This window comes from Homo sapiens, chromosome 6 (assembly GCF_000001405.40).
Source record: "Homo sapiens chromosome 6, GRCh38.p14 Primary Assembly".
Lineage (NCBI taxonomy): Eukaryota > Metazoa > Chordata > Mammalia > Primates > Hominidae > Homo > Homo sapiens.
This window is the reverse complement of record NC_000006.12, coordinates 88,139,807-88,167,776: the sequence shown is the minus strand read 5'-3', so window position 1 is coordinate 88,167,776 and position 27,970 is coordinate 88,139,807. Positions and strand designations below refer to the sequence as shown.

General features: G+C 40.6%; 1 protein-coding gene across 20 annotated transcripts, besides 4 other annotated features; it reads left to right on the top strand.

The window, feature by feature from the left end:
• Nucleotides 304-503: a silencer, noted in NCBI's record as "silent region_17380". NCBI's record gives its function as "represses an Ori minimal core promoter by ATAC-STARR-seq in GM12878 lymphoblastoid cells {active_cell/tissue: GM12878}" and the evidence as "EXISTENCE:reporter gene assay evidence [ECO:0000049][PMID:35858748]".
• CNR1 (cannabinoid receptor 1) lies at nt 428-27,913 on the top strand. Of its 20 annotated transcripts, none has more exons than XM_047418171.1 (5): nt 1,430-1,974; nt 3,483-3,520; nt 17,137-17,294; nt 19,971-20,113; nt 22,440-27,913. In XM_047418171.1, the coding sequence occupies exon 5, from the start codon at nt 22,503-22,505 to the stop codon at nt 23,919-23,921; it is 1,419 nt and encodes a 472-aa protein (XP_047274127.1). In that variant the 5' UTR covers nt 1,430-1,974; nt 3,483-3,520; nt 17,137-17,294; nt 19,971-20,113; nt 22,440-22,502; the 3' UTR covers nt 23,922-27,913. The 20 variants fall into 20 exon arrangements, with proteins under 20 accessions (NP_001411023.1, NP_001357476.1, NP_001357475.1 ...); NM_001365872.2 differs by having other exon boundaries at nt 19,971-20,161; NM_001424094.1 differs by lacking the exons at nt 1,430-1,974; nt 17,137-17,294 and adding an exon at nt 428-587.
• Nucleotides 574-1,013: a silencer, noted in NCBI's record as "silent region_17379". NCBI's record gives its function as "represses an Ori minimal core promoter by ATAC-STARR-seq in GM12878 lymphoblastoid cells {active_cell/tissue: GM12878}" and the evidence as "EXISTENCE:reporter gene assay evidence [ECO:0000049][PMID:35858748]".
• Nucleotides 1,074-1,753: a silencer, noted in NCBI's record as "silent region_17378". NCBI's record gives its function as "represses an Ori minimal core promoter by ATAC-STARR-seq in GM12878 lymphoblastoid cells {active_cell/tissue: GM12878}" and the evidence as "EXISTENCE:reporter gene assay evidence [ECO:0000049][PMID:35858748]".
• Nucleotides 25,950-26,109: a silencer, noted in NCBI's record as "silent region_17377". NCBI's record gives its function as "represses an Ori minimal core promoter by ATAC-STARR-seq in GM12878 lymphoblastoid cells {active_cell/tissue: GM12878}" and the evidence as "EXISTENCE:reporter gene assay evidence [ECO:0000049][PMID:35858748]".
• Nucleotides 27,914-27,970: the final 57 nt, after the last annotated feature.

Sequence of the window (27,970 nt, the reverse complement as noted above, 5' to 3'; positions counted from 1 at the left end):
ATAGGGTCCAGATATAGTACGGTTGCTGTTGGGGTCTGATCAGGGGCGGGAAGACCTGGAGGTCGGTAAAACGGAGCGGTGCGGGATGATGTCTGGGAACACCGGCAAGGTGTCATAAAATGAACGCCAAGGCGGCCACAAGAGGACGGCCGGGAACCGAACCCAGCGCCCAGCACGGGGCCCTTGTGGCCGACGTGACGTGGCTCCGTCAGGTGGAAACCGTGCGATCCTCTCCCGATCCAACTCACGAGAGATAAAGATGTCTAAATAACCACGACCGCCGCCGCACACCCTGCAGGGCCCCGGGGGCGGAGGGGAGGGGAGCGCCTCCTCGGCAGAAGCGGCGGCCCAGGCTTGTTTGGAGGTTCGCAATTCACCATGATAAATGTAAAGACCAATTAAGGTTTGATCCGTGCACACAGGAGGCAGACGGCGGCTGATAGTGGAAACAATTAACGAGCATGTCCCCTAATTCCTGCCGCGGCTGCTGAGCACACCGCGGCTCCCCAGGCGCCCGCCGCTGCCGCCCCCGAGTCCCAGAGCCCCCAGTCCGGCCCTGGAGTGGGGCGTCCTCCTCCAGCGAAAAGGTGCGAGGAGCGGGGCCCCGGGTGGCCGGGGAGGGGGCGCGCCGGGCCGGGAGGCGCGGAGCCAGCCGCCTACGGAGCCCAACTGTTTGCATCGGGGACCGGCGGGCGGGGCGCGCCCGAGTGGTCTCGCCGGGAAAGGGCGGCGGGCGCTGGAGAAGGCGCCTGGCGCGAAGCTGGGCGGCGCCCCGAGGGCGGAGGACAGGTGGCCGCGCGACCGCAGCCAGGTAGCGAACGGCTCGGGGGCTGCGCAGCGCGGTCCCAAAGCTCAGCCCGGCCCCGGGCCCAGCTCGCTGCCGCCTGCCACGGGAGCGGCCTTGCGCGGAGGGAGGGGGCGCGAGACCGCACCCCCGGGCCCGGCGCGCCTCGGCCTCTGGGCTCCCGCTCCCCTTCCCCTTCCGGCTCAGCCCGCTGCCCCAGACGTGACCCCCGCGGAAGGTGTTGGCGATGCGCGCTGCCCGGGAGCGTGTGATTAATGGCCCCGAGGTCGTGGGCGGCGCATGCACCAGCCCCTTCTTGGCCTGGTCAGGGTGTGAGGGTATCCGGGAGCACAGCGAGGTCATGGCAGCGGGGGCCTCCGGGAGCGCGGCGGCGGAGGAGGAGGAGGAAGAGGAGAAGTAGGTGACGCGGGCCGAAGAGGCTTGTCCCCTCTGGCCCCAGGGCTGGCGCCGCGGCGGGTCCCCCGCCCCAAGCAAAGTTTGGGGCTACGGGCGCTGCGCTCAGGTCCCTCCCCGCGCAGTTCCCTCGGCGGGGTCTGTGCCGCCGCCGCTGCCAGGGCAGGACAAAGGCTCATTAACACGTGATGGGACCGCGCTTCATAAATGGGACTGGAGCGAGAGGGAGCCAGAGACAGCGCGAGCGGAGGGAGCGGCAGGGACTGCGCGAGCGGGACGAGGCGACGGGCGCCCGGGCTGGCGGAGACGGGCGGCCCCACGCCGGGCCAGGCGGGGCTCGCGGGAGGACCCAGTGAAGAGCCTGGGAAGGGGCGAGGCTCGCCGGCGGTCGGAGCAGCGGGGCGCCAGTCCCGGTCGCTGTCGCGGGCGGGCGCTGGAGACCGGGACGCCGGCGCTCGGACGGACTGACTTGCTGACCGCCCGCCGGAGGCACACCCCACTCCACCCCACCCCGCCTCGCCAGCAGCCCGGCGCCGGCGCCGCCTCCCGCACGCTACTCCCTCTGCCACCCCTTCCTTCTCCACTTCTTTTCCGCCTCCGCCTCTTCTTGTCTCCCGCGGCGCCAGCGCCTTCCCTTGGCCCGGGCGGGGGCCTCGGCTCCCTGCAGAGCTCTCCGTAGTCAGTGGGGGATATTTCGTTCTAGCGGACAACCAGCCCCTGAGCTGGGCGAGAGGTGCCAAGGGAGCTTCTGTCCCGAGGACCAGGGGATGCGAAGGGTAAGACCTGGCAGAGTTGCGTTTGGAAATACTTTTTCCGCCTCCCGCCCCCTCGGGTACGACCAGTGTGGTCCCCAAGTGTCCTTCGTGGAGTTCTTATTCCGTGTGAGCGAATCGTGCGTCGGTGTTTACTTAGCTGTATGGCCCCAGCCTGTTAACTGTGATCTGTTCTACTTCTGGAGATTTCTACCATTTACTATTTATTGAATGTGTGTGCACCTGGCTCTGTATGCACTGATGTCTGTTTGTAGAAAATGGGTAATTGTGCATGTTTGAAAAACGGGCGCTTGAGTTGGTGCTGAATGCCTATAAACCATGTTAGCAGCTAAGTCTTCCCAGGGAAATACATCGATCTCTGCTGCAAGCCTAGAAACTGACTAATGTAAAATAGTAAATGTCATATAAAGAGATGTATGTCAAATAATAAACTTTTGATAAAAAGCTACAGGAACCACTTCTCTTTGAGGAAAAACAAATGTCCATGTAACTAATACCTAAAATTGAATGTTGATGGAACCGTTTAACTCAGAACTAGCTGTTAGATGACTAAAGTTAATGTTGCATTTTTAAAAGACATTTCTTGTTAAGGCTTACAAATCATAAACGGATCACCTCTCAAATAAAAATATGTTTGCTGTAATAGACATGAGAAACTGTCATTTGGTCATTTGGAAGTTTAAAAGCAACATGCATGTTTCTGATTTTAATAGATTGTCTCTCAGATATTTAAAATTGAACAGATAAAAAAACAAAAGAAATGTTTAGTAACGTATTAATCATTTTGCCTCCCATCTTTTTTTATTTTCCTCCAAATAAGTGCTATTCTTGCCTTTGTTGTTGATTTCCTGATATAGTAAGCCTCCTCGGGCATGTAATCCAATAAGAGATTAGAACAGATTTACTGGTTTTAAAGGTGTTGAAAGATATCTCTGTGGGTCCCATAACTTCTCCTCATTTTTATTACCAAGTTAATATCTTTTGAACAATGGGGGAAATGCAATTTCTTAGAGGAAGCTTAGCGGACACTGAGTATTAGTGGGGTCACCACTGACATCAATCTATTTTGCAGAATATTGAGAAGCTCAGAGCAACCAACCTTTAAGGTTCCCATAGGACTTTATGTGATTTAAAGTGTTGCTTTTCTAATCCTACCCTACTGACAGTTTGCAAGGGAAGATACACTAATTGATTTTTCTCTGTCCTTTTTTTCCCTGGTACTCCTCCCCCTCCCCCGCTCTCTAACTCAGTTAAGAGCAATTTTATAAAAATAAAAGGCCATTTATAGTTTCTTAAGTGAGACAAATTACTTTCAGATTATATCCATACATGAGCAGAAGACATGCACCTCCAGAATTTTAAACATTGCATACTACAGGCACTTATTTGTAGGCACAATGGCAGTTACCATAGTGGGGCAAGAGACTTGATGTGGGACATGGTTTTAAAAAACTAATCCATTTTAGCTTATCAGGAGAACTTACTGTAAACCGACTCTTTTTGTTTCAAAGATGTCTCCCACTCCAGGCGAGGAGCGCTCTTGGCTGAGGTATGTATCAAGTGTCTGATGGGGAGAGGTCTCATTGTGTTTCTCAGTGTCCATGGGGGTACAATGATGCCACAAGGTGGAAATACCCAATTCTGGCCTTTCACAAATAAAATTACTGTGCTTGCATACTCGTTGTTAGGAAAGCAAATTAGATATTCATGCCCCTGAATTTTAATAACATTAATATATGTATGTAAAAAGAATGTTATGACTAGAACCTTAAATAAGCCATAAGTGATTATTATTTAGTGTGTAAAGTTTTAAATTCTGATGAACACCAGGTCTCACATTGAAGTAGTGCTTGGCTTTGTTTGTTATCCACTGTTTTCTGTCTTTTTCTGTTACCCATTTCCCAGTGGACCATGTTCCTCTCTGTCTTGCCTGTGAGATTGCTCTTCTCTAATAAGCCTAGCTGCAGGATCAGTGTGTTCTTTTTGGCATTTCAAAATGGTAAAATAGTGAAATTGTTAAATGTTACCAAGATGAAACTGCTGGGAATGAAATTCTCAAAAAGAACCACTGTATTTGTGGCATATTTCAGCCTCTTCCAAAAGAAAACTCTTTGATTCGGTTTACCTATTTTCCCAAGAAGGAAGCAGCCCCATTGATTGTGTTGATAAGTGTTTAGTATGCAGTGTCAGCTTATTAATTACTAAGGCAAAGCCTGAGAAACTGTTTCAAAACAGTCGTATAACACTGTTCTTTGCTTTGACTCAAAATTAACATTAACCACGGGGAAATTTAGACAGGCTTCTTGGTTGTCTTGCATATTAGTGTTTGGAATTAGAAATCAAATACTTTGCTATGTAAGAATAAACTATTATGAGATGGAACTTCTAATAGCAGTTTATAGTTCACCACGCTTACCAAATGTTTCTTACCAGAAAACAGTTGGCCAAATAAGGGATTATTTCCCATAACTAGCTATCCAGGAATGCTGCAAAAACAAGAGTAACAAATTGAATTGGAAAATACCTAATGACACATAACTAGCAAAATGAAAGATTTGGTTATAGCTTCTTGAATTTATAAGAATTCTGGGTGAAAGTTATTGCTTCTTTTATTCCAGGAAATATTTTGGAGAAGTCTGAATTGATCTATGTTATAAAGTTAATCCAGTCTAATCTAAGAATATACAGTGAATTAAATGCTAATTAAAGCAATTAAAGCATGATAACAGGCAGTAACCTAAAGGACAGGCTCCATCTTACTTACCAAATTCCATGTTAGCTCAGTTGCATAAAGAACATAGATGAGAGCTTTCATTCCCTGCTGAAAAGGATGCCATGCCTCCACCAGTGTAAGTCTGTTTCTTCTATTTTTGTATTTATCATTTTCTAATTGAACTGACAAATAGTTAGAGTGAAACCAGGCTTTGGGTTTAAATTATTTATAATTCTGCTGTTGGCTCTAAAACAATGTGGACCCAACATTGTTTGAAACACTGTGCTAGGGCCAGGTTTACATACTGCATATCTGTATTTTGAGAGGCAGCCTGCTTTGCTGATTTTTCTCTTATATACTGAAGACTGGTAGAGAAGTCAAAGAATAAGAGGAAATCAAAATCAGTTTATATACTTTGTGTTGCCAAAATTTTAACTTCATGTTTTCTTCCCTGAATCTCCAGTTCTTTCCTAATCTTATCCTCAGAGAAATGGTAACTTTATATTATGGCTGCATGAATGCTGCTTTTGGGGACTTGGGGGATTCAACTTTTTGCCACTGAATTGCTAGTTAATACTTTGATAAGCATTTAATTCTCTGTATATTCTTAGATTAGATTGGATTGACTTTATAAATTCAGATTTCTCCAAAATGTTTCCTGGATTAAAAGAAACAGTAACTTCACCCAGAATATATGTATAATATCAAAGTATATATTGCGTAATTTTGGACACCTGGACATAGAAACACACTTTTATTTACATGTATAAACATTTTTATAGATGTAAATCATGACTGAAATAAAAATTTAAATATGTTGCCTTTATACATTTGAACATGTAATTCTGATTTTAAATAAATACTACAAATTTGGGGAAATGTCCGCATTCAAAGCAGCTGTGCAGATGGACACTGAAGAGTTAAAGCAGATATCCACCTTGAATGGAAACGAGGCCATTCTTGTTTTCCAGGATAGGTGGAAATCCGTGCCAGTCCCATGCGTTCTAAGAATCTTGCAAGTATGCCAGGGTGAACATCACCACATTTGATTATAATTTTATCATAAACACTGATGGGTTTAAGACAGTTTCTTTTTAGCCAATCCTTTTAGTTGTTTATTATTTTTTGGAAATTAGGGCTGTACAAGTTGGAGGAAAATACAGAAGGTTATTACCATATCTCAGAATGCATATTAAGATAGTTATAGTTTTTATATATAACACATTACAACGTTACCACAAGTGAGTTAAAACTATAGGAAATTTGTTAGGGGGGCAGGTTTGTAAGGTGGGTGATTTTTAGTAGACGCTGTCACCTCTCTTGCTGCTTTTGAAATTGTTTGATGTGAGAGCAAGCAACTTCCATCTCAAACTTGCTCACATGGCATGTTTAATACATATTGCTAATAAGAGGTCAAAGTCATGACATAAAGTAGTGTAGTTATCTTTAGTTCTTATCAAAGTATTTACTAAAAGCTTTCCTGGATTATATTTCTTGATTTAACAAGGCCCCATAATGAAAAAAAGTATATTTTTTATAATAGTTTAGAGGACAGTTAGTTGCATGTATATATTCTTGATCTAGTTTCCATTGATATTTTCCATATATTTGAAGTATTTTCCATATAGATGAATTAATAATGGACAGCCTCTAATTTAAGTTTCACTTGGACAGGTTAAGCTAATAACTTAATCACCATGGAATTCTCGAGGTTCATAGTTTGTATGGGTTTTTGAGGGAAGAATTGTTTACTCCCAAAACCCGAGCAAATGGGCATGGCAGAGTCATTGCAGTTGTTCTGGGAATACTATGAATTGTATTTGAGCCCCAGCTGGAGAAATGTTCACACCTGCACTTTAAGAAAGCTTTCAAAGTTTTGCTTTCTTTGCTTTGTTTTCTTTTGTTTTTGAATATGTAGAGACTGGTTAGATGGAAATCATTATTTTTGAGCAAATTCTTTTTTAACCCATTGTGCTATTGCATAATATTCTATATTTTTGAATGTTTTCAAAAGTACATTTTGCATTTTTTTGAATGCAAGAATTTAGTTTGCCTTTTCTCTCAACACAAAAGGCAAATAAATTTGCCCTAAAATACAATATTTTACTACTTAATGTCTTATTTTTCCACTCTTATTTGGATTCTTAATTAATTAGGAAATTATGTTTTTCAAAATTTATGTTTAAATGAGAGGGTCCCCCTCTTTCCTTCACCATTTCTTTATTCATTCTTTTAGATCATAACTTTAGAGAAGAAAATTGGAATCAATATGAGTCCTGAAAATTGAGTGAAGTTTTAAGGAGTATTACATTCAAGCTAGCGATAAATTCTAATATGCTTTTGAAAAAACAAATTCTAGTCCAGGCGCGGTAGCTCACGCCTGCAATCCCAGCACTTTGGGAGGCCAAGGCAGGTGGATCACTTGAGGTCAGGAGTTCGAGGCCAGCCTGGCCAACGTGGTGAAACCCCTTCTCTACTAAAAACACAAAAATTAGCCGGGCATGGTGGCATGTGCCTGTAATCCCAGCTACTCGGGAGGTTGAAGTGGGAGAATTGCTTGCACCCAGGGGACAGAGGTTGCAGTGAGCCAAGATCACTCCACAGCACTCCAGCCTGGGTGACAGAGTGAGACTCTGCCTCAAAAAAAAAAAAAAAAAGAAAAGAAAAAAAATTTTTTAAGTTTGTTTTAAATAAATTTCTACTTATATGGACGTTTGTACTAGGTAATTCATAACATTGATTTCTTCGGGTCAAAAAGCTAAAAATGATGTTTTTATTTATTTATTTTTAATTAATTTATTTTGAAATAGAGTCTCACTGTTGACCCAGGCTGGAGTGCAATGGCACAATCTCGGCTCACTGCAGCCTCCGCTTCCTGGGTTCAAGCGATTCTCATGCTACCATGCCCGGCTAATTTTTGTATTTTTCGTGCAGACGGGGTTTCACCATGTTGGCCACGCTGGTCTTGAACTCCTGATCTCAAGTGATCCGCCTGCCTCAGCCTCCCAAAGTGCTGGGATTACAGGCGTGTGCTACCGTGCCTGGCCTAAAAATGATGTTTTTAATATAGCAAGTTAACCAATATAATGGTTGATCTTTAAAAAAAAAAAGATCATTTAGGTACTAGACCTTTGTCACTTGTGTTTGCTTTTAACTCAGCTATATTTAAAAATTAATCAAATTTATTTATTCTTTATATGAGGGACTTAATGCCACTATGATCTGAGTATTTTGGTTTATTCCATGGCGTTTGGCTAAATGGATCCAATTTTCAGCTCATTGAAATGCATTGCTACCAGAATTTGCTAAATGTTTTCTTTAGCTTTTGTACAAGTTGTGAGCAGGCAGTATGCATGTGAAAAACGAAAGCTAGACAATTTAACATATAACTGAAACAAGTGCAAGATTGGCCAAAGAATTTTGTGTCTCTGCGTATGTGGGAATTTGACTTTGGAAGATACACAGCTACTTTTGGAAATGAGATCTAATGTCTTATAAACAAAAAAGGAGAAATCTTTGAATTATTTTAGTCCTCAGCTAAAGTAACTAATTGTGAGTAATCTGTGATCCATTTTTATTGACGAAATAATTAAGAGAGAGAACAGTTTGCCCAGAGTCATATATTTAAGTGCCTTGGGATATATTTCTAAATATTTGTAACTTTTAGGTATTTTTGAAATAGGTCCACTATGAAAAGTGTAAATTGCATAATTACCAGAGTAATTCTGTAAAATAATTTGCAGTAGATCCATATTACTTGGGCCTACAGCAAAATTTTCATTTTAGTTCGTTCTTTCCTGGGTTCATCTCTTAAGATGTAGTATTTTATGGTTTGGAGGAAAAGAAGAACAGAAACAAGTATTTCCAGCTTGAAAGAAATAAGCTGACATGTTAATTACTTTTACTTTTTTCTTGTTATGCTCAATAATCATGGGTTCCTTCACAGTAGTGGTGAAGGAAATGTCTTAGCAACCCTATAAAGCTTTGCATAGCCTTTGTAAATAGAATTAGGAGAAAATGGTGTGGAGTTCTTAATATATATCTGTGTATTATATCAGTACACATTACATTTTGAAGCCACTTTCCTTTGCTGGACAAAATCCATAAAAAAGTTTCCTGAAAAAGTCCAGAGAAGCCCTGGATTGTAGACTAAAAAAACTGGAGAGGTTCTCCACTCTTTATTCTTATTTTCTGGCTAAATGACATTATTCTATTCCAAATAGGAATACCTCAGTTATAAAGATCTTCTGTGGGAGGTTATTTTATCTTGAGCTGGCTCCTGTAGCAATCTGTTTCAATGATCTAAAAACCTATACTTACAGAATATTCTTTCTTCTTATCTAACCTTAGTTCTTCTTAAAGGTTAAATCTACTTCCCCTTCTCATTTAGTCCTTTTCATATGTCTCCATAATCTTTCACAGTGGTTCTTAAACGTCAGAATGTGCTAGAGCCTCCTAAAGGCCTTGCTAAGAATGGAGATGCACCCCAACCCTAGAGTTTTTGTTTCCATAGATCTGATCTGGATCCTGAGAATTTGTGTTTTTCGTAAGTTCCCAGATGCTGCTGATGCTTCTGGTTGGGAGACCACCCTTTGAGAGCCAATGACCTATAGACTAACCCTGCATGCACTTACAAACCATTGTGTAACTTCTCAGACTGGTCTTTCAGATGTATATTATAATTTTCAGCCCGTTGGTACCTGTCTTATTTACTAATTCAATATGTTCACATCACTTTTTCTGAACACTTTTCAGTTCCTGGAATCTCTTAATTCTTAATTGTATCACACAAACGCTAAGAAGGGCTCGATCCGGAATGAATACAATAGAACAGCCTCATGGTTTCAATGGCATAAAAATTCTGCACTTGCATCCAATTTGCATACATACTTCTTAATCACAACTACATTTCCAGAGCATATTTTGCATTGCTACTGAAACCTCGTTCTTCCAGTTCTGTTTGTATGTAATTATTTACATCTTGAAAGCATATTTTTCTGTTTATGTCTTGCATTGTTAGCACACACTGAAAATTTCCTAAACATTTCGACTAAAGTAGGTGATACATAAGTACCTAGTTCTTAAAATAATGTCTGAAGGAAACCCCGGATTTACGCAATAATAAAAACTTATTTAAAATTATTTTAGTGAGAGAATGATAGGAAGGAAATTGAATTATTTAGAAAGTCACTGTGTCCTCAATTTGTATGAATATTTGAAGCAAGATTCATTTCTCTTGTTAAATATTCCATTTTAGTCCCTACAATAATAGAGATTAATTTTCTGTTCTTTTTCATCACAGAGTTAGGACCAGTAGTGATTATTGCATATTTGGAAATTGGAAAGCTGAATGTTTTACAAAATAGAATGAGTTGGTTATTAATATTGATTGTGGGTTCCTGAGACCACCCCTCTTACTTTTAACATCTCTTGGTTTAAACATATTTGTTTTAAGTAGAACTCCTTTCCTTTTCTCATTCTTAATTACTTTCTTGAGGCAGAATTCCTGATATTCAAAATTAATTTTTATCAATATATTAAATTTTCTCAATGCCCTTTTGCCTCAGAAAAGTAATTAGAAATTTAGTTTTCATAGGCAGTAGTAATAACCCATTTTAACTCTCCATAACATATTTTCCTATTTGTATTTTAATTAATTCAGTTGTAAAATACATAAAATGTTGTAGCAGGAGGAGAAGTTGCTCAACCAAAGCGAGAACTATGTCCACCAAATAGAATAACAAATTGATTCCTGAGGGCTTATAAAAGCCACTCCATCTAGTGGTTGAATTTTCACGTGACTTCTCTTGAGAAGTTTTGGAAACACGCTCGCAAGTGGAGAAACCCATTTGGGAAACATCAATGCACAATAATGTGCATTTAGGGGAAGAAAAAAAGTCCATTATAATAGTAATTTCATATATTGTCTTTAAAGGTCTATCAACAGCATATAATTAAGATTCATTCAAGGTTGTGCATGTCACAAAAGACTCTTGATACGTCATTGCTAAGTGGCTGAACTTTGCAGTTCATAATATGTACTCAGGCTGAACAAGGATTGGAATAAAAAGTAAATACCTGATCTGTGCCCATAACTTCCACTTGCCATCAATATAATTTCTATGTGATACTGAAATAAGACATCCTGGGGTAAATAATTGATGGATTCAATATAATTTTCCCATTTGGACACTTTTTCAGATGGTTGTTTGTATGAGACCAAGATTCAGGTTTAATGCCCTCATGATCAGCTGGCTTTATGCCAGAAAAAACTGTCCATGGTTAAAAGCTGTTCTGTTACGTTGGATCTTCCATGTTGCTGATGCATACCAACATTTACTTAGTAAACAGGTATTGAATACCTACTCTGTGCCAGGCACTGTGCCAGGCAGAGGACCTATAAGATAGTTCCCAGCTCTCAAGGTGTTCATGGTCTGAAGGGTTTAGACACAATAAAGACAACTACAGGATGGCTCAGCAATGCCCATCACCTCTCCTGGGAGAAAATCTCAAAGCATGTAGAGAAAGAGAATTCACACAGCCCAGTACTATCTGATGATTAAATATATTCCCTTTATATGTTTTTATAACCTATTCTACTCTTTCAACTAGGAAAAGGAAGACAGAAGGGTGGGCTGTATTCGAGGTGGAGGGGTGGAGGGGAGAACCATTTCCCTTGCTTTCTTGACCTGACCCATGTCCCTTACATGGGTGTGAAGCATGGATATATTTTGGGGGTCATCTATCACAGAAAAATGTTACATCTTGGAATATAATGTCCACAATCCTAGGCACAGACTGTATGCCCAATAAAAATGTGTTAAATCAAGCATTTGAAGGCCTGTAACTTTATATCTATTAGCCACATTGCTGTAGTAATGCAGTTTTACATCCATTGGGCACCAGGAGATGGTAACGGTCACTCATTTGTTGGAACAACAAATGGTACAACGTTTATATAATTTGTCTACCTTGATTCCAGCCAGGAACTTAGGAATGGGCCACAGAAAGTCTTCTTCTCCCTGGTCTAAGAAAACCTCATGGCTCATGGTGGGAAGTTGGGTGATTTTGAGTGTTTGAATTTCTCCATGTAGGGAATGGATGTTTGAAGCTTTCATTTACTAATAAACATGTCTCATTCAGACCTAAAGAAGGTGCCCTATTCGTGTCTCACTGGTGTTGTGGAAAGTGTCATTACCATCTATATTCCTGACAATTGACTAATGAAGCAAAAAAACACCTTCCCTTACTTACAAAATAGTGGCAAAAATGACTTAGGTTTTATTTGCCAGTTACTGCCATTAGCACCAGTGACTGCAAACAAGGTACTAATGCAGAGTTAGGATTTATACCTTATAGTTAATTGGCATACTTTGTTGCTGAAGACCGTGGAGCAAGGATGACTTGCAAGTGCTTTGGTCAACAGATCATTCCTTCAGATTTTAGTTGTTTACTGTATAAAATTATCATGTACACATTAGATAACGTGTACCTTCTCCCAAACCAACTCTTCTTCCCTGTAAATGAATGAAAGGGTGTCTTATTAAATGGTTCTTGGAACTCTGTGTTGAGAGCAGGGGCTTTGAATTATGCAGACCTGGATCAAATTTCCAGCTCTGCCCTGTCTAGTTAGAGACCTTGGGTAAAGGATTTTTCTCTCTGAGTGTGTGGAATAGAGATTGTAATAGCACCCACTTCATGTAAATATTAAGGAAAAATAATATATTTTTTCCATGACTGGCATATAATAAAAGTTTAAATGTTTCTTAAATGAAAATATTTGGAAATTAGGATTTTCTCTATTGTGCATTTACCCAAATTCTCTCAGATTTGAATCTGGAGAAATAAGACTTGGCTTTTAGTTGGAGTTAATTTGCATGATTATGGACTCAAAGAGAAAATATGCCTTCACTGATAGATGAAGAGAGAAGAAACTGTGAAAGGTGTGCTGTGCAATTGGATATCATATAGCATACTTTTCACTGTTGCTATGGACTCCTTGATAATGAACTGCAAAAGTAAGAGCCTGTTTACTAGTTTCTACACATTTTGTGGACCAGAATAATATATCACCTTCCACTTTTAATGACCAAATCTCATATGCAAGATAAAGATAATTTTATAGAGTATTTTGAATATGGCCATGGCTTTTACTTAATTGAAAACTTTGTATGTTCTCTGTTAGTGGAAGGCTGCTTTAATAATTGCTTTCTGGGCGGGCACAGTGGCTCAAGCCTGTAATCCCAGCACTTGTGGGAGGCCGAGGTGGGCGGATCACTTGAGGTCAGGTGTTCAAGGCCGGCCCAGCAAATATTGTGAAACACTGTCTCTACTAAAAATATATAAATTAACTAGGCGTGGTGGCATGCACCTGTAATCCAAGCTTCTTCGGAGGCTGAGGCAGGAGAATCACTTGAATTCGGGAGGTGGAGGTTGCAGTGATCTGAGATCACACCACTGCACTCCAGCCTGGGTGACACAGCGAGACTCCATCTCAAAAAATAAAAAAATAAAAAAAATTGCTTTCTTTACCCAGTATGTAGAAAGATCTCTCTCTCAAGAAAAGTGCCAAGGCACTCTTAATTGGAGGAAACAGCTAAACAGAAGAGCAAAATTAAATAGTAAATGGAATTTGTTATACAGATCAACAAATGATTTTATTTGTATCATTAATTCAAGAGGCTTTGTTTCTTAGCATCATCACCACGTAGTTCCTAACCCAATGAAGTTGCAAGACATCATTTTCTTGAGCCCTGAAATTGTTTTAACTAGTCTCTAAATGTGAAATCTTTGGCATATTTCACATTAAATTTGAACAGAAGTACAGTCTACTACACTCGTATAAGTCAATGTCCTAAGTTCATATCAATTGATATATTTTTATGAAAAACATAACACATATAGTGTTAGTAAAGAATAGACTAGAGAAAATGGTGCATTAAATAACTTCTATTTTATGTTACAAAATATATGAAAAACTGAAGGTATGAGAGCCAATTGAGTGTTACCAATATAATGGAATTTTCTTTCATATGTAGGAAAAGGAGCTGACATTAATATAAGGAAAAAAGATTATGTATTTTTGCCTGAATTATCAGGATAATTAAGTCAATCAGTTATTTCACTTTGCTGTAGAAGATGAGGGAAAAGTGACCAAGCTTCTTTAATAATTCCAAAACTCTAATGATTAGGTAAGAGTTAGAAAAGACTCATTGCCCATTCAACTGGAGTGGAAACATCATTCATCAAGTTATGATGTTGGCCTATGGCATCTGCCGTGTATATTGACAGCATGACTTAGACATAATGCAGTTATAAGAGTCGACTAAAATTTTCCCTACTAACTTTAGAGAAATACATTAGCACAGTATTTTCTTGATCAAATTAGTAGAAAACAGACTTGTTCCCAGAAATGAATGGAAAATAACCAACAAATATATCCACTGGAAGCTGCATTCTCTTGAACTCTTCACAAGGTTCTTTTATGAGGCCAGCCAAGTGAACAACAGAACCAACAAAGTAGGAAAAACAACAAGTTAAGCAAGGGACTGGAACTTCTGCATTTGACATCCTGGACTCCTGTCAATGTAGACACTGTGCCAGGCACTGTCTCTTTAAAGCACTTAGAAACTTAGAATATCAGAGAAGGAGTATGATGGGTTAAAGCAGTCTATAATATATCAGGGAGCACCAGTCCTTCCAATACTTCTACAGTGTTTTCAGCCTAGAACACATGGACATTTTAAACCCTTTGTGGTTATACGAATAAAAATAAAGACTCTGGATAAACATTAAAAAAAACAACAACTTTATGCAGCAGCCATACTCACAAAATTCCTTTGATGATACCATAGCTTGCTAGCTGATAGATATGGTTTTCTTGGAAGGAGGTAGTGGAGAGGCAGGTTTGCATACAGAGAAATAGACAAAAAGAATAGATGATAGTCTAAAAATTGGAGTGATTTTTTAAAAATAATGGATTTAATACATTAAGATATTTTTATCTTTACTATGAAGTCATGATTTATATAGCTTACACTGTTAGAATATGTTGGCTATATTTTTTAAAGCAGAATTCTAGGAAAATTCCCTTATATGTCATTCAATCATTCTTTTACTATAACTGTAATAAAAACCAACTGCTTCTTTAATAGGTGCATCTATACATCTTGCTAGAAATTTCCAATTATGATTTTCCTAGTAGCAAACAAAAACAAAATTAATGGCAGCTACATCCCCCAAAGCCTAAGCCGTATTAGTAATGAACTCTCAAAGGAAGTTGTTGATGCAAAAAATAATAAGGTGGAAATTACTGTAATAATCCAAATGTAGAAATAAAGGAAAGAATTATCAAAATGCAGAGAGCAGTTTTCCTGCCATGATCCCATTAACTGTTAAAATAGCCTGTGCACAGTAGTATTTCGACATTACTGAGATCTTTGAACTACATAAAATCCATATATTATTAACTGTATTCTTTAATTCAATTGGCTTATATTGGACAGAAATTACTCTGTTATCATATAACCACACCCATGCCCTAGCTTAGATTTTAACAAGCTAGTTTGTTTTAATGAAAGTGCTTGGTTGCATTAAAATGGGAAGTTGTGATCACACTTGCGGTGATCTTAATCTAAAGTAAGTCACAGAAACATGTTTTTTGCATTACTGGAATAAGATATGTGATCCTTTGTCTTCACTGAAGAAGCTTTATAGCTCTTCCAAGTAGTGACTAAATTTTAATCTTTAGGTCCATGCAAGTAGGTAGACTTACCTAGATGAGCTTTGATAGGAAATAGGGATTTAGTAGCAGGTAGTCTTAATTACTATTGGCAAAATGCCTTAATTTACATTTCTTTTTTTTTTTTTTTTTTTTTTGAGACGGAGTCTCGCTCTGTCGCCCAGGCTGGAGTGCAGTGGCGGGATCTCGGCTCACTGCAAGCTCCGCCTCCCGGGTTCACGCCATTCTCCTGCCTCAGCCTCCCACATTTCTAAGAATCCAGAAGACTTAAATATAAGATGCAAAATGGCTTTAACCTAGTTACTGTTAATTCTGAAATCGTCACATAAAATCTCAAAACAGACTGTGGAGTCTGAGAAACTTCGATTCATCTGCAAATCCATCATATTCTAGGCAATTTACTTAACATCTGATGGCCTCCATTTCCTCATCTGTGAAATGGGGATTATAAATAAGCACCTGATAGGGTTGCCTTGACAATTTAATGATAGAATATATGTAAAGTTTCTCAAATGGCTGGATATAACAGACATTCAATAAAGGTTCCCCATCCCTTACCCATGTCTATATATATCTACTATTTGCTTCATGTTTTAAGTGCTGAGGCAAAAATAAGATTGAATAATTAAGGCAATGAGCATTCTTGAGATATAATTAGTATGTATTATATTATTATAATATATTCTTACAATATAATTAGTATATAGTATATAGCAAAGAGCCATAATACTAAGTAATGATAATAATAATACCCATTGAAGACTTACTTTTGTGTCAGGCACTATGTTTTACATGCATTTAATTTCATCTAATTTCAGATCAGTTCTGCGATTTAGGCATTATTGTCATCATCCTCATCCCCATTTTACAGATGAAATACTGAGGCTTAGAAAGACTGATTGCCCAAGTACCATCTAACACCAATCTTGGTCTGCTAACTCCTAATTCCATTGACTAGGTGCTTTGACTGGTTGGAATCAGTGAAGAAAACAAGGAAGATGGTAATATCCCTGTCTTAGCTTAGAGAGATGGTGTATCAAAAAAAGCTACAAGTAAGGGCCCTAGACCTGCACTGTCCAGTATAGTAGCTACTAACCACATGGAGCTATTAAGGACTTGAAATGTGGCTCTCATCTGGGTGCAGTGCTTGCTCTACTACTTACTAGCTTTGCCTATAGCAACTTACTTACCCTCTGTGCCTTTCTTCTGAAAATGGGGATAATAGCACCTACTTCATAGGGCCATTGTGAAATAAAGGAATTGATATATATGTAATAGGCTCAGTGTCACCAGTCCATAAGAAGCTCTCTCTATATGCTTAAAAGAGGAAAATCAGCAAGACTTAGTGGTCTACCTGATTGTAGAGGTCAAGAAAGAGGAGGTGTCATAGTAAGTCCAAGTTAGGAACTTAGGTGACTAGAAAGACTACTCACAATGCCATAAGAAATGTGAAAAAGTTCTCAGGAGTCAACTCTTGCTCCTTGCAAACTTATGTTTGCTAAACAACTCCATTTACATATGAAAGTTTTCATCCATAATCAAAGGGACACAGAAGACAGTCACAATATATGAGAGAGCTGTTCCTTACATGGTCCTGGCACATCCACAAACCTAGCTTTTGCCTTTCAACTCCCACCCATACTTAAACACCAGGCTTACTGGTCCTGAGTGACTTGCTGAGTGACCTGTGGTTGGATTCAATTTATTGCAGCATCATTTCTAATAGCAAAAGATGATAACCTAAACCTCCATCAGTAGGAGGCTGGTCACATTCATCTAACAGATCCTTAAGGCAGCTGAATGAAGAGAGAGGTTTTATATACGAATATGGAACTGTTCACAATGTGTACTTCTAAGAAGAAAAGAAAGGTATGTATAATAATGTTAATTACTGTTTGCTAAAAAGAAAACAAAGAGGGGGTAAATACATATATTTGTTTGAATATGCATGGAGTATCTCTGGAAGGGGTAACAAGAAACTTACTCCTTGCCTTTGAGAAAAAAAACTAGGTGGCTGGGATATAGGGATGAGAGAGATTGACTTTTCTCTGTATGTCTTTCTGTACCTTTTGAATCTTAAATCTTGTGAATCTAATACATAAAGATAATCAAAATTTCTGATAAACTAGTTTCCAGTTGGAAAGTGTAAAGGGGGAGTTAGTTAATTGAGGGAAGATGGCATAAGGAATGGGAAGATGACTGGAATGGCTCACAGGAGCTACTTGGAGATGGAGGCTCAAACTCTGGTTTTCAGGCTAAATGTCTATTGCATAAATTATTTTTTCTGTCCTCTAATTTTAAGAAAAAGGCAAATGCAAATCACTGTTTTAAGGTACCACCTAATAAAAATTCAACTGCCATTTTATTAGGTTCAGGTGAACATTTCTGTGGGAACTCAGCTGTCTGCTCTCCTGCTATCATGCTATCAGGCTGGTAAACCACTTAAGAAAAAAAGATGCCTCTGTGTTTGGAGATCTCATTCTAGTTATGGAAATAAATATGTGAACTCCTGATTATACGACGTGATGAGGCCTGTAATAGAGGGATGTGCTGGGGAACTAGTTATACCTAGTGGGAGGGGCTGGTCAGGAAGGTCTCAGACATGGAAGTAGCATTGGCACAGACCTGGAAAGATAAGTTTAGTAGGCAGAGAGCTTCTATCCAGATAAAAGAAGGGACAAGGTGAAGGAGGAAGGTGTGCAGGTATGACGGTGTATTCAAAGAGCAGCAAGTCACTCAGGGCCAGTAAGCCTGGTGTTTAAGTATGAGTGGGAGTCGAAAGGCAAAAGTTAGGTTTGTGGATGTGCAAGGACCATGTAAGGAACAGCTCTCACACATTGTGGCTGTCTTCTGTGTCCCTTTGATTATGGATGAAAACTTTCCATATGTAAATGGAGTTGTTAAGCAAACATAAGTTTGCAAGGAGCAAGAGTTGACTCCTGAGAAATAGCCGAATGTGGGACATATAGAGCATGTTCTAGAAGAGGTGAGGATATGAGAAAAGATATGACAGACAGACAGATGAACAGGGAACCTAAGGATACTAAGGATACTCGAGAGTTAACATTGGAGCCAGGCTGAGGGTAGGAACTCAGGAGATATTTTAGATAAAGGAGCCCAGAAGCACTGGGCAACTGGCTTGGCTGTTGGTCTTTGGTCTTTTATTTCTGCATCCTTTATTTCTATAGCCACTAGCCTTTGCCCCTGAGACACTGCCTTGACTTGATTGGCGTTAGCAGACTGTACCAGCACACTGGGTGCCTCTGTGTGGCTTGTACCTTAGAGCTCCTGCCTCTGGTCCAGTAGGTGATGGCTCCCATCTGCTTTATTCTATGACAGTTGCAGGAAAGGTGTGCAGAACTGGTTCAGAAGCCCAGACTAAAAAAAACCCTCAATTTTCTTAGTGATGATAGAAGTTACCCATGGGAGATTCGGGGCCCTCAGTTTGGCAGTGCCTCCTACTGCCATCACAGGCTACAGTGATCTTGTAAAAGGGTTACACAACCATGGAGGAGCTAAGGGAGCCTTCTGGCTTACCTGTCACATTAGTGCTGAGGGCTCTTTCTCTGTTCACCATTTGGTATGGCATTGCCAATATTCTTGTTTGCCTCTCTGTAGCCAAAGTTGCTTATTGCATATAGCTCATTCCATGAGAGTTTAGACTAGATAATTATATAGGCAGCTTCATTTAAAATGCTAATAACCTTACCTAAATAGAGCATATTTCTAGCACAATTGGATTGGGCAGCTCTCCAGGCTAGATCCCTTGATTCAAGTTACATGATCATTTTTTTTTTTTAATCAGCATTGGGAGAATCCTTCCCCTTCTTTGGGTAGAAAAGAGCTTCTTGTTTTTGTTCTATTTTGAAATACGTATATCCAATCAACCAGCTTATTTGGAGCCTTCTTCTGTGTGTTAGGCATTCTACTAAATGCTGAGTAGATACTAAGATAAAGTCCCCAGTAAGATCTTCAGTGAACTTACTGTCTAGTGGGTGGGAGGAAGTAGTGGAACAGATGCAAACACAAAGAAGTATTAGAAAATCTGGTCAGTACCATGATAGAACTCTGTTTGGGTATTCTGGGAGCCCAGAAAGGGTGTTCATCGCCATGGGAAGCAGGGAGCTATGGCAAGAAGTGACATCAAAGTGATGGGGAGGAGTTGACCAGGCGGGAGTGTAAGGGGCAATGGGAGCAACAGCACTGAGGTGAGGAGCAGTCAATTTGCTGTGTTTATGGAACTAAAATTCATCTGGTGTAGCCCAAGTGGCAAGGCCAGGGCTGGCAAGAAGAAGATTGGAGAGGTGGGCGGGAGCTAGATCACAGGAAACTTTTTACTGGACTTCATCCTGCAGGTGGGAGATAGAAAGCCATCCTGTTTAGGGAGACAGGTTGTGGAGAGTATTAAGGACAAGAGCCTGAGGGTCAGAATTGGAAAGGAGCTCAGCTGGATGGAAACATAGAAGGCAGACGAGAGTTGCATACATGTCTGGAGGGCCTGGGCCTGAAAAGGAAACTGCGTGAAAGTTTATATTTGGTTTTTAGGGCAAAGAGATTGAAAGAGGGGAGTCACATAATCAGCATACGTTTATGAAGATTACCCCCACAGCTGTGTGGCAAGTGATCAAAAAGGAACAGGACCAGAGAAGAGCAGGAAAACTGGTCAGAAAGCAGGCGCCCTAACCCTGGTGAGCAGTGATGAGATCCTGGAAGTGGAGGTGGCAGAATGTGGGAAGGTGGGCCACATTTAACACTTTATGCCTGTTCCAAATTACTTTTCTTAAGAATCATGACACTAGGGTATTAAATAAAATTATTTTCATTGACTCTGTGTCCTGTCCCCACCTACAGTGATGCTACCTATTCTTAGCATAAATATCTTTTCCTTGGGGAAACCTCCTTCAGCCCTCTAGACTGGGTGTCCCCAGAGCATCCTGTACGTCCCCAATTGTAGCTCTCCCCATGCTTTCTTTTAATTTCTGAGTCAGCTGTCTGCCTCCTCTGCTAGATCATATCCTTCATGCGGGCAAGGACTCTTTTTTTCACAGAATGTTGCTCTGTTGCCAGACTGGAGTGCAGTGGCATAATCTCGCCTCACTGCAACCTCCGCCTCCCGGGTTCAAGCGATTCTCCTGCCTCAGCCTCCTGAGTAGCAGGGATTACAGGCGTGCCACCATGCCCAGCTAATTTTTTTAAAATTTTTTTAAATTTCTTTTTATTTTTAGTAGAGACGGGGTTTCACCATGTTGGCCAGGATGGTCTCAGTCTCTTGACTTCGTGATATGCCCACCTCAGCCTCCCAAAGTGCTGGGATTACAGGCATGAACTACTGTGCCCGGCCAAGGGCAGGGACTCTTTCTTGATGCTGTCAACACTAGTGTCTAGTACCGTAGCTAGACATAATACAAGTGCATAGTGGATGCTCCATAATTTGTTAATACATGAATAAATGAATTATTAATTCAGATATTAGGGTCTCTGAATTAATAACTCATTTATTGTTAGTTCAACATTTTTAAAATTTGTTCTGAAATAGTGATTGTCTCTCCCCCAACCCCATACAGTGTGATATGTTTCAGGAACAACAAATGCCAATTAACAAGTAATATATTGTTTTAATTCTTATTTTAATTGTTATAGATATCACTCTATACTTCTAATTTTTAAAAATAAACTAAAGAAATGAATAGCCCACATTTTAAACAAAAATTTATAAATAGTAAGATCAGTTCTCTGGCTGTTTATTTTGAAACAAAACCAAATTGCTTAGCTTAGAATCGAAGAACCTTAAAGTTTGGGCCTTTCCTCTTAGCTGTTCACATGGAAATCCTTGGACACTCTCCAGCCTGTCTCCTGTCACCAGGCACACTTGTGTCACCAACCTGCTCATGAAGGGGACTATCAGGAGGCCTCCTCCATATCCCTGCTGTGAAAAAGCTCAGTCTTGGCCGGGCACAGTGGCTCACACCTGTAATCCCAGCACTTTGGGAGGCCGAGGCAGGTGGATCACCTGAGGTCAAGAGTTTGAGACCAGCCCGACCAATATGGTGAAACCCTGTCTCTACTAAAAATACAAAAATTAGCCGGGCATGGTGGTGCGCACCTGTAGTCCCAGCTACTCAAGAGGCTGAGGCAGGAGAATCACTTGAACTGGGGAGGTGGAGGCTGCAGTGAGCCCAGATCGTGCCACTGCACTCCAGCCTGGTGGCAGAGCAAGACTCTGTATCAAAAAGAAAGAAAGAAAGAAAGAAAAAAAAAACTCTGTCTTCCTATACGCCTCATTGCAAGTTTGGTCTTTGTGACATTTTTCTTGGTTGATGTGGACATCCTAGAAGTCATGTCAGCCATGGCTCCGTCCAGACCTCCCCTTCTCTGGGTGAAGAAACTTGTCTTGAGGAGCATCTCTCCCCACATGGCCTCAAGCTTCCTCAGTTCTCACTAGCTCCCTCCTCCCCCGCTACAAGTAACATACAGACCACACAACTCATCACTTGATTCTACACTGTCTTATTCTTTGGTTGTCTTTTACATTTAGTCTCATTTGTCTGACAAGGTGAAGTCTCCAAGAGTAGGGGTCATGTGACACATCAGTGCTCTCGCCGGCCCCAACCAGCACTGGGATACCATGTGTGTGTGACAGGAGAAGCCAGGTGCTAAACACTTCCTAACGTGACTATGAAATGGACATTGTCCCCAAGAAACATTTCATTTAGTTCAGTCTTCTTGGCCCTGGAGGTCCTTCCTGGATTCACACACTGACTTCAATACAGAGGGTTTAAATAATGAAAAGGTGATACATTTCTGGCATGTGCCACGCCATCCCTGAACTTTGGGGAGCTTTTCTCTGAGTGACTTACTCATTTTGTTGACTGAATCTGATGAGAACTTGACCTCCTACTGTTCAGAGACAGGAATGAGTTGCCATGACAGTACATTTGCCACATTTACAGTGTCTCTTTGTTTTTATTCTTCCTGTTTCTCACCATTCGGCTTATTTGTTTTCCCTCCTCTTAGGATTGCCCCCTGTGGGTCACTTTCTCAGTCATTTTGAGCTCAGCCTAATCAAAGACTGAGGTTATGAAGTCGATCCTAGATGGCCTTGCAGATACCACCTTCCGCACCATCACCACTGACCTCCTGTACGTGGGCTCAAATGACATTCAGTACGAAGACATCAAAGGTGACATGGCATCCAAATTAGGGTACTTCCCACAGAAATTCCCTTTAACTTCCTTTAGGGGAAGTCCCTTCCAAGAGAAGATGACTGCGGGAGACAACCCCCAGCTAGTCCCAGCAGACCAGGTGAACATTACAGAATTTTACAACAAGTCTCTCTCGTCCTTCAAGGAGAATGAGGAGAACATCCAGTGTGGGGAGAACTTCATGGACATAGAGTGTTTCATGGTCCTGAACCCCAGCCAGCAGCTGGCCATTGCAGTCCTGTCCCTCACGCTGGGCACCTTCACGGTCCTGGAGAACCTCCTGGTGCTGTGCGTCATCCTCCACTCCCGCAGCCTCCGCTGCAGGCCTTCCTACCACTTCATCGGCAGCCTGGCGGTGGCAGACCTCCTGGGGAGTGTCATTTTTGTCTACAGCTTCATTGACTTCCACGTGTTCCACCGCAAAGATAGCCGCAACGTGTTTCTGTTCAAACTGGGTGGGGTCACGGCCTCCTTCACTGCCTCCGTGGGCAGCCTGTTCCTCACAGCCATCGACAGGTACATATCCATTCACAGGCCCCTGGCCTATAAGAGGATTGTCACCAGGCCCAAGGCCGTGGTGGCGTTTTGCCTGATGTGGACCATAGCCATTGTGATCGCCGTGCTGCCTCTCCTGGGCTGGAACTGCGAGAAACTGCAATCTGTTTGCTCAGACATTTTCCCACACATTGATGAAACCTACCTGATGTTCTGGATCGGGGTCACCAGCGTACTGCTTCTGTTCATCGTGTATGCGTACATGTATATTCTCTGGAAGGCTCACAGCCACGCCGTCCGCATGATTCAGCGTGGCACCCAGAAGAGCATCATCATCCACACGTCTGAGGATGGGAAGGTACAGGTGACCCGGCCAGACCAAGCCCGCATGGACATTAGGTTAGCCAAGACCCTGGTCCTGATCCTGGTGGTGTTGATCATCTGCTGGGGCCCTCTGCTTGCAATCATGGTGTATGATGTCTTTGGGAAGATGAACAAGCTCATTAAGACGGTGTTTGCATTCTGCAGTATGCTCTGCCTGCTGAACTCCACCGTGAACCCCATCATCTATGCTCTGAGGAGTAAGGACCTGCGACACGCTTTCCGGAGCATGTTTCCCTCTTGTGAAGGCACTGCGCAGCCTCTGGATAACAGCATGGGGGACTCGGACTGCCTGCACAAACACGCAAACAATGCAGCCAGTGTTCACAGGGCCGCAGAAAGCTGCATCAAGAGCACGGTCAAGATTGCCAAGGTAACCATGTCTGTGTCCACAGACACGTCTGCCGAGGCTCTGTGAGCCTGATGCCTCCCTGGCAGCACAGGAAAAGAATTTTTTTTTTTAAGCTCAAAATCTAGAAGAGTCTATTGTCTCCTTGGTTATATTTTTTTAACTTTACCATGCTCAATGAAAAGGTGATTGTCACCATGATCACTTATCAGTTTGCTAATGTTTCCATAGTTTAGGTACTCAAACTCCATTCTCCAGGGGTTTACAGTGAAGAAAGCCTGTTGTTTAAGTGACTGAACGATCCTTCAAAGTCTCAATGAAATAGGAGGGAAACCTTTGGCTACACAATTGGAAGTCTAAGAACCCATGGAAAAATGCCATCAAATGAATAATGCCTTTGTAACCACAACTTTCACTATAATGTGAAATGTAACTGTCCGTAGTATCAGAGATGTCCATTTTTACAAGTTATAGTACTAGAGATATTTTGTAAAATGTATTATGTCCTGTGAGATGTGTATCAGTGTTTATGTGCTATTAATATTTGTTTAGTTCAGCAAAACTGAAAGGTAGACTTTTATGAGAACAATGGACAAGCAGTGGATACGTGTCAATGTGTGCACTTTTTTTCTATATTATTGCCCATGATATAACTTTAGAAATAAACCTTAATATTTCTTCAAATATCTCTATTTAATTTTGACACTGAAATAACCGTAAAGGTTTATTTTTCTGTTACCTCAACAAGAAGAATTTGAAGACTTCAAAATATTGAGCAGAATTCATTCATACTTAAAAATTTATTAGCCCTGCATTTTCATAGGAAGACACATTATCTTCTGGACTATAGCTGTTCTAATGGATTATAATCAGAATGGAAGAGAGAAAGCATATTGACTTTTTTTGAGCGACATCTCTGACTTTCTTTAGTCTTTAGCTATTACTGGATCTCTTAAGACAGCATGTGTTAATCTTAATGTATATCGTTATCACTGTGCAGTTGCTGTTTACTTGAATAGTATTGTGTTCCTATATTCCAGGTTTAAGTAGATTTCATGCCTGGGTGGCCAAACAACAGTCTTCATTTTTTTTAATTGAAAAGAAGTAGTGTCTGGATCAGTAAAATTATACTGTGTGTGAGTGTGAATATAAATGTGTGTATGTGTGTTTCTGTCCTGTAACTGTTACAGTAATGTCATAAAGTGAGAAAACTGTGACCAAGTATAAACTTTTACCACTTGCTGCACTCTTGCACATGGATTCAGTTTCTAAAATTGAGTTCTTCCTGTAATCTTGTTGATAAAAATACTGACTCCAACCATTCAAAAATTTCACCCCATCCCTCCTTAAGAGATTGGATCAAGTATTACTAAATTGACCTTTAGGTATTACACAAGACCAGTGCTTAGCAAAAAATAATGACAGGCATCCAAGGAAGGGATGTATTTGTAGTGTTATTGCCAGGAAAGGAGAGTACTTTGGTTTCTGAGCACCGAATATTGAGCAATATGTCAGTCACTAAAAGGAAGACAGTTCTACAGAAAAACAATGGTAACATTTTTCAATAGCGTGTGTAGATAGTATGCACTATATACATCACGTTAAAGTAGGACTATCACACCCAGCCCATGTGGCTAAAAAAGCTGAATCAGACAGTGGATGAGACACACAACGGCAGTGAAGAACCGATACACTTGGCATTGACGTCTAGCTATGCTGTATCTGTGCTTTGCCCACATGCCCTTGGTGACAGCTGAGCACCCAGCTCTGTCTTGGTAGGTTTGGGCTAAGGAACAAATCTCTCCTTTGCTCGTGGTTAGCAAGATACACTCAAGCATGAAGATAAACACAGCTGCTTTCTTCTTACACCCCGGTCTCATGCTCCTTAATGGCGCCATGGGTGCTTGTTGGGCCTTTTTCCAGTAAGGAATGATATTGCTGAAGAATCTACTTAACCCTGACAAATTTTAATTATAATCTCTTCTTATACAGATAAAACATGACTCCTACAAGGCCCCAAGGTTTACATAGTCTGAAGTGAAGTACAGAGCTGGCATCTATCTGGTGATTTCTAGCTCTCGAGATACCCAAGCAGCCTGATGGGGCAGTTCCCCTTCTTACGGTTCACGCTCTAAGGCAGGATGTGGCTTATGAGATACTTTGCATTGTCTGTCTGCACACCTTGAATCTGCCTGCTGGCTCCCTTACTTTACCTCTCTGTCATGTGCAGATGAAGGCTCAGGGTGCTAGAGGATTAGTAAGATCTCTTTCTAAAGACAGGAGAGATTATTTACAAGAAGAACTCACCAGGGTTTAGTTTGCATTTAAGAATTGCCAGTCTTTTGTCCTGCATCATCTTGAACATTAATCCACATGTTTCAGAGCTCACCAGGCAGTACCAATGCTCTTTTCACAGCTATGAAGAGCTAGAGAAATTCTTGTTATGGTAGAAAAATTTCACGATTCATTTTTGAAACTGCATTTGTGCGTATGCAGTGTAGATTTTATAGTGTGTTGTGCTTTCAAGATCTAAATCATATATAATAAATTAAGGGACAATGGGGCTGACAGCACTAAACTTGGTGCTTATTGATATTCTAAGAAATATCTGTGAAATATCATCACGTATGTTATACAACCTTCATTTAAAAAGGTTTAAAACTAGTTAGATTCACTTTGACACTTTTCATATCATTTCTTAACCCAAGTGACGAAAACATTGTCCCCAATGAATATACTCATTAGAATTACCATTTGTTAATATCACTCATTAATTAACCCCATAATTAGATCCATTAATTTAAATGATTTAAATTTAAGTAAGTTTTATAAGGTCTGACATCAGAGGTATCTTACTTTCCTCTGAGGATGATGTACTTGCCCTGACCATGCATTTTACCATCACACATGTTCAGAAAGGGCCAAATTCCCAACCTGCTCATTTTTTTTTTATCAGAGTCATGATGAATCAGTCCTAGAATGTTTCATTTGCACAAGTAGGGCTGCCTCCAAGAGGAACCTCTGATTTATTTTGTATGAAATATATGTGAAAGGATATGAATCTGAGAGATGCTGTAGACATCTGTCCTACACTTGAGATGATTTCCAAGCCTCTCTGGCACTTTGAGTTAAGTCTATCTGGTATTAAATGCCAAGGACCTTTTGCTGCCTAAATCCACTCTGCAGGAAATAGGCCCAACCACCAGATGAGAATTAGGCCCTGGATGAGTAGCGCTATAGTTACTGTCCTGTTGATTAATTTCTGCCATTTCATGTCCATAAAAGAGACCACCCATATCATGCACACAATTAGATTTCTCACACTCTAACTGTATATTTGTATGATATTTTAAAATCTCCTAAATGCTGGGCAATGGCTATTAACAATTAATTGTCTTGCACTGGCCTTCTGATGAAATGTTAACAATGCCTATTGTAATATAGAAAAAAACATTCTATCTACTGATTTGGGCTGAATGTATGTAAATAGGTTTCTAAAAAGTCAGATGTTTGAGCAGTGGCCTACAAATCAGTAATTTTCGGATGGGAGAGTTTCTTTACATTGCCGTGGCATCTTAAAAGCTATCTTCATGTAAATTGACTGTACTAGGCCTACTGGGGATCAGAGTTCCCAAGAAAGGAAACCTTTTCTTGTATCTGGATTCAAATTTATTTCCAATGTTTCAAGCGGGAAACATGACTCTTTATTGTCTGTAAATCTAACATTATTACTTTTCCTCTTAGAAGAATATTGTATTGTTAGATGTTTGTTGAGCTGGTAACATCGTTGCAACCACTGCAATATCTTCGTTAGTAATCTGTATAATACTTTGTATACAAGTACTGGTAAGATTGTTATTAAATGTAGCTTCAGTCATTAAATTACTATAGCAAAGTAGTACTTCTTCTGTAATATTTACAATGTATTAAGCCCACAGTATATTTTATTTCAATGTAATTAAACTGTTAACTTATTCAAAGAGAAAACATCTCATCATGTCTATTGTCCAAAGTTACCTGGAATCAAATAAAAATTCTAGATTACCATGAAGAACATAAAATGCCTTTGAACTCTGCCTTATTTCACAGTCTGATGGCAAAATACTAAGGATTTAATT

Coding starts and splice junctions, on each gene's coding strand:
- CNR1 (NM_001370546.1), top strand. CDS start 22,503: ATGAAGTCGATCCTAGATGGCCTTGCAGATACCACCTTCCGCACCATC.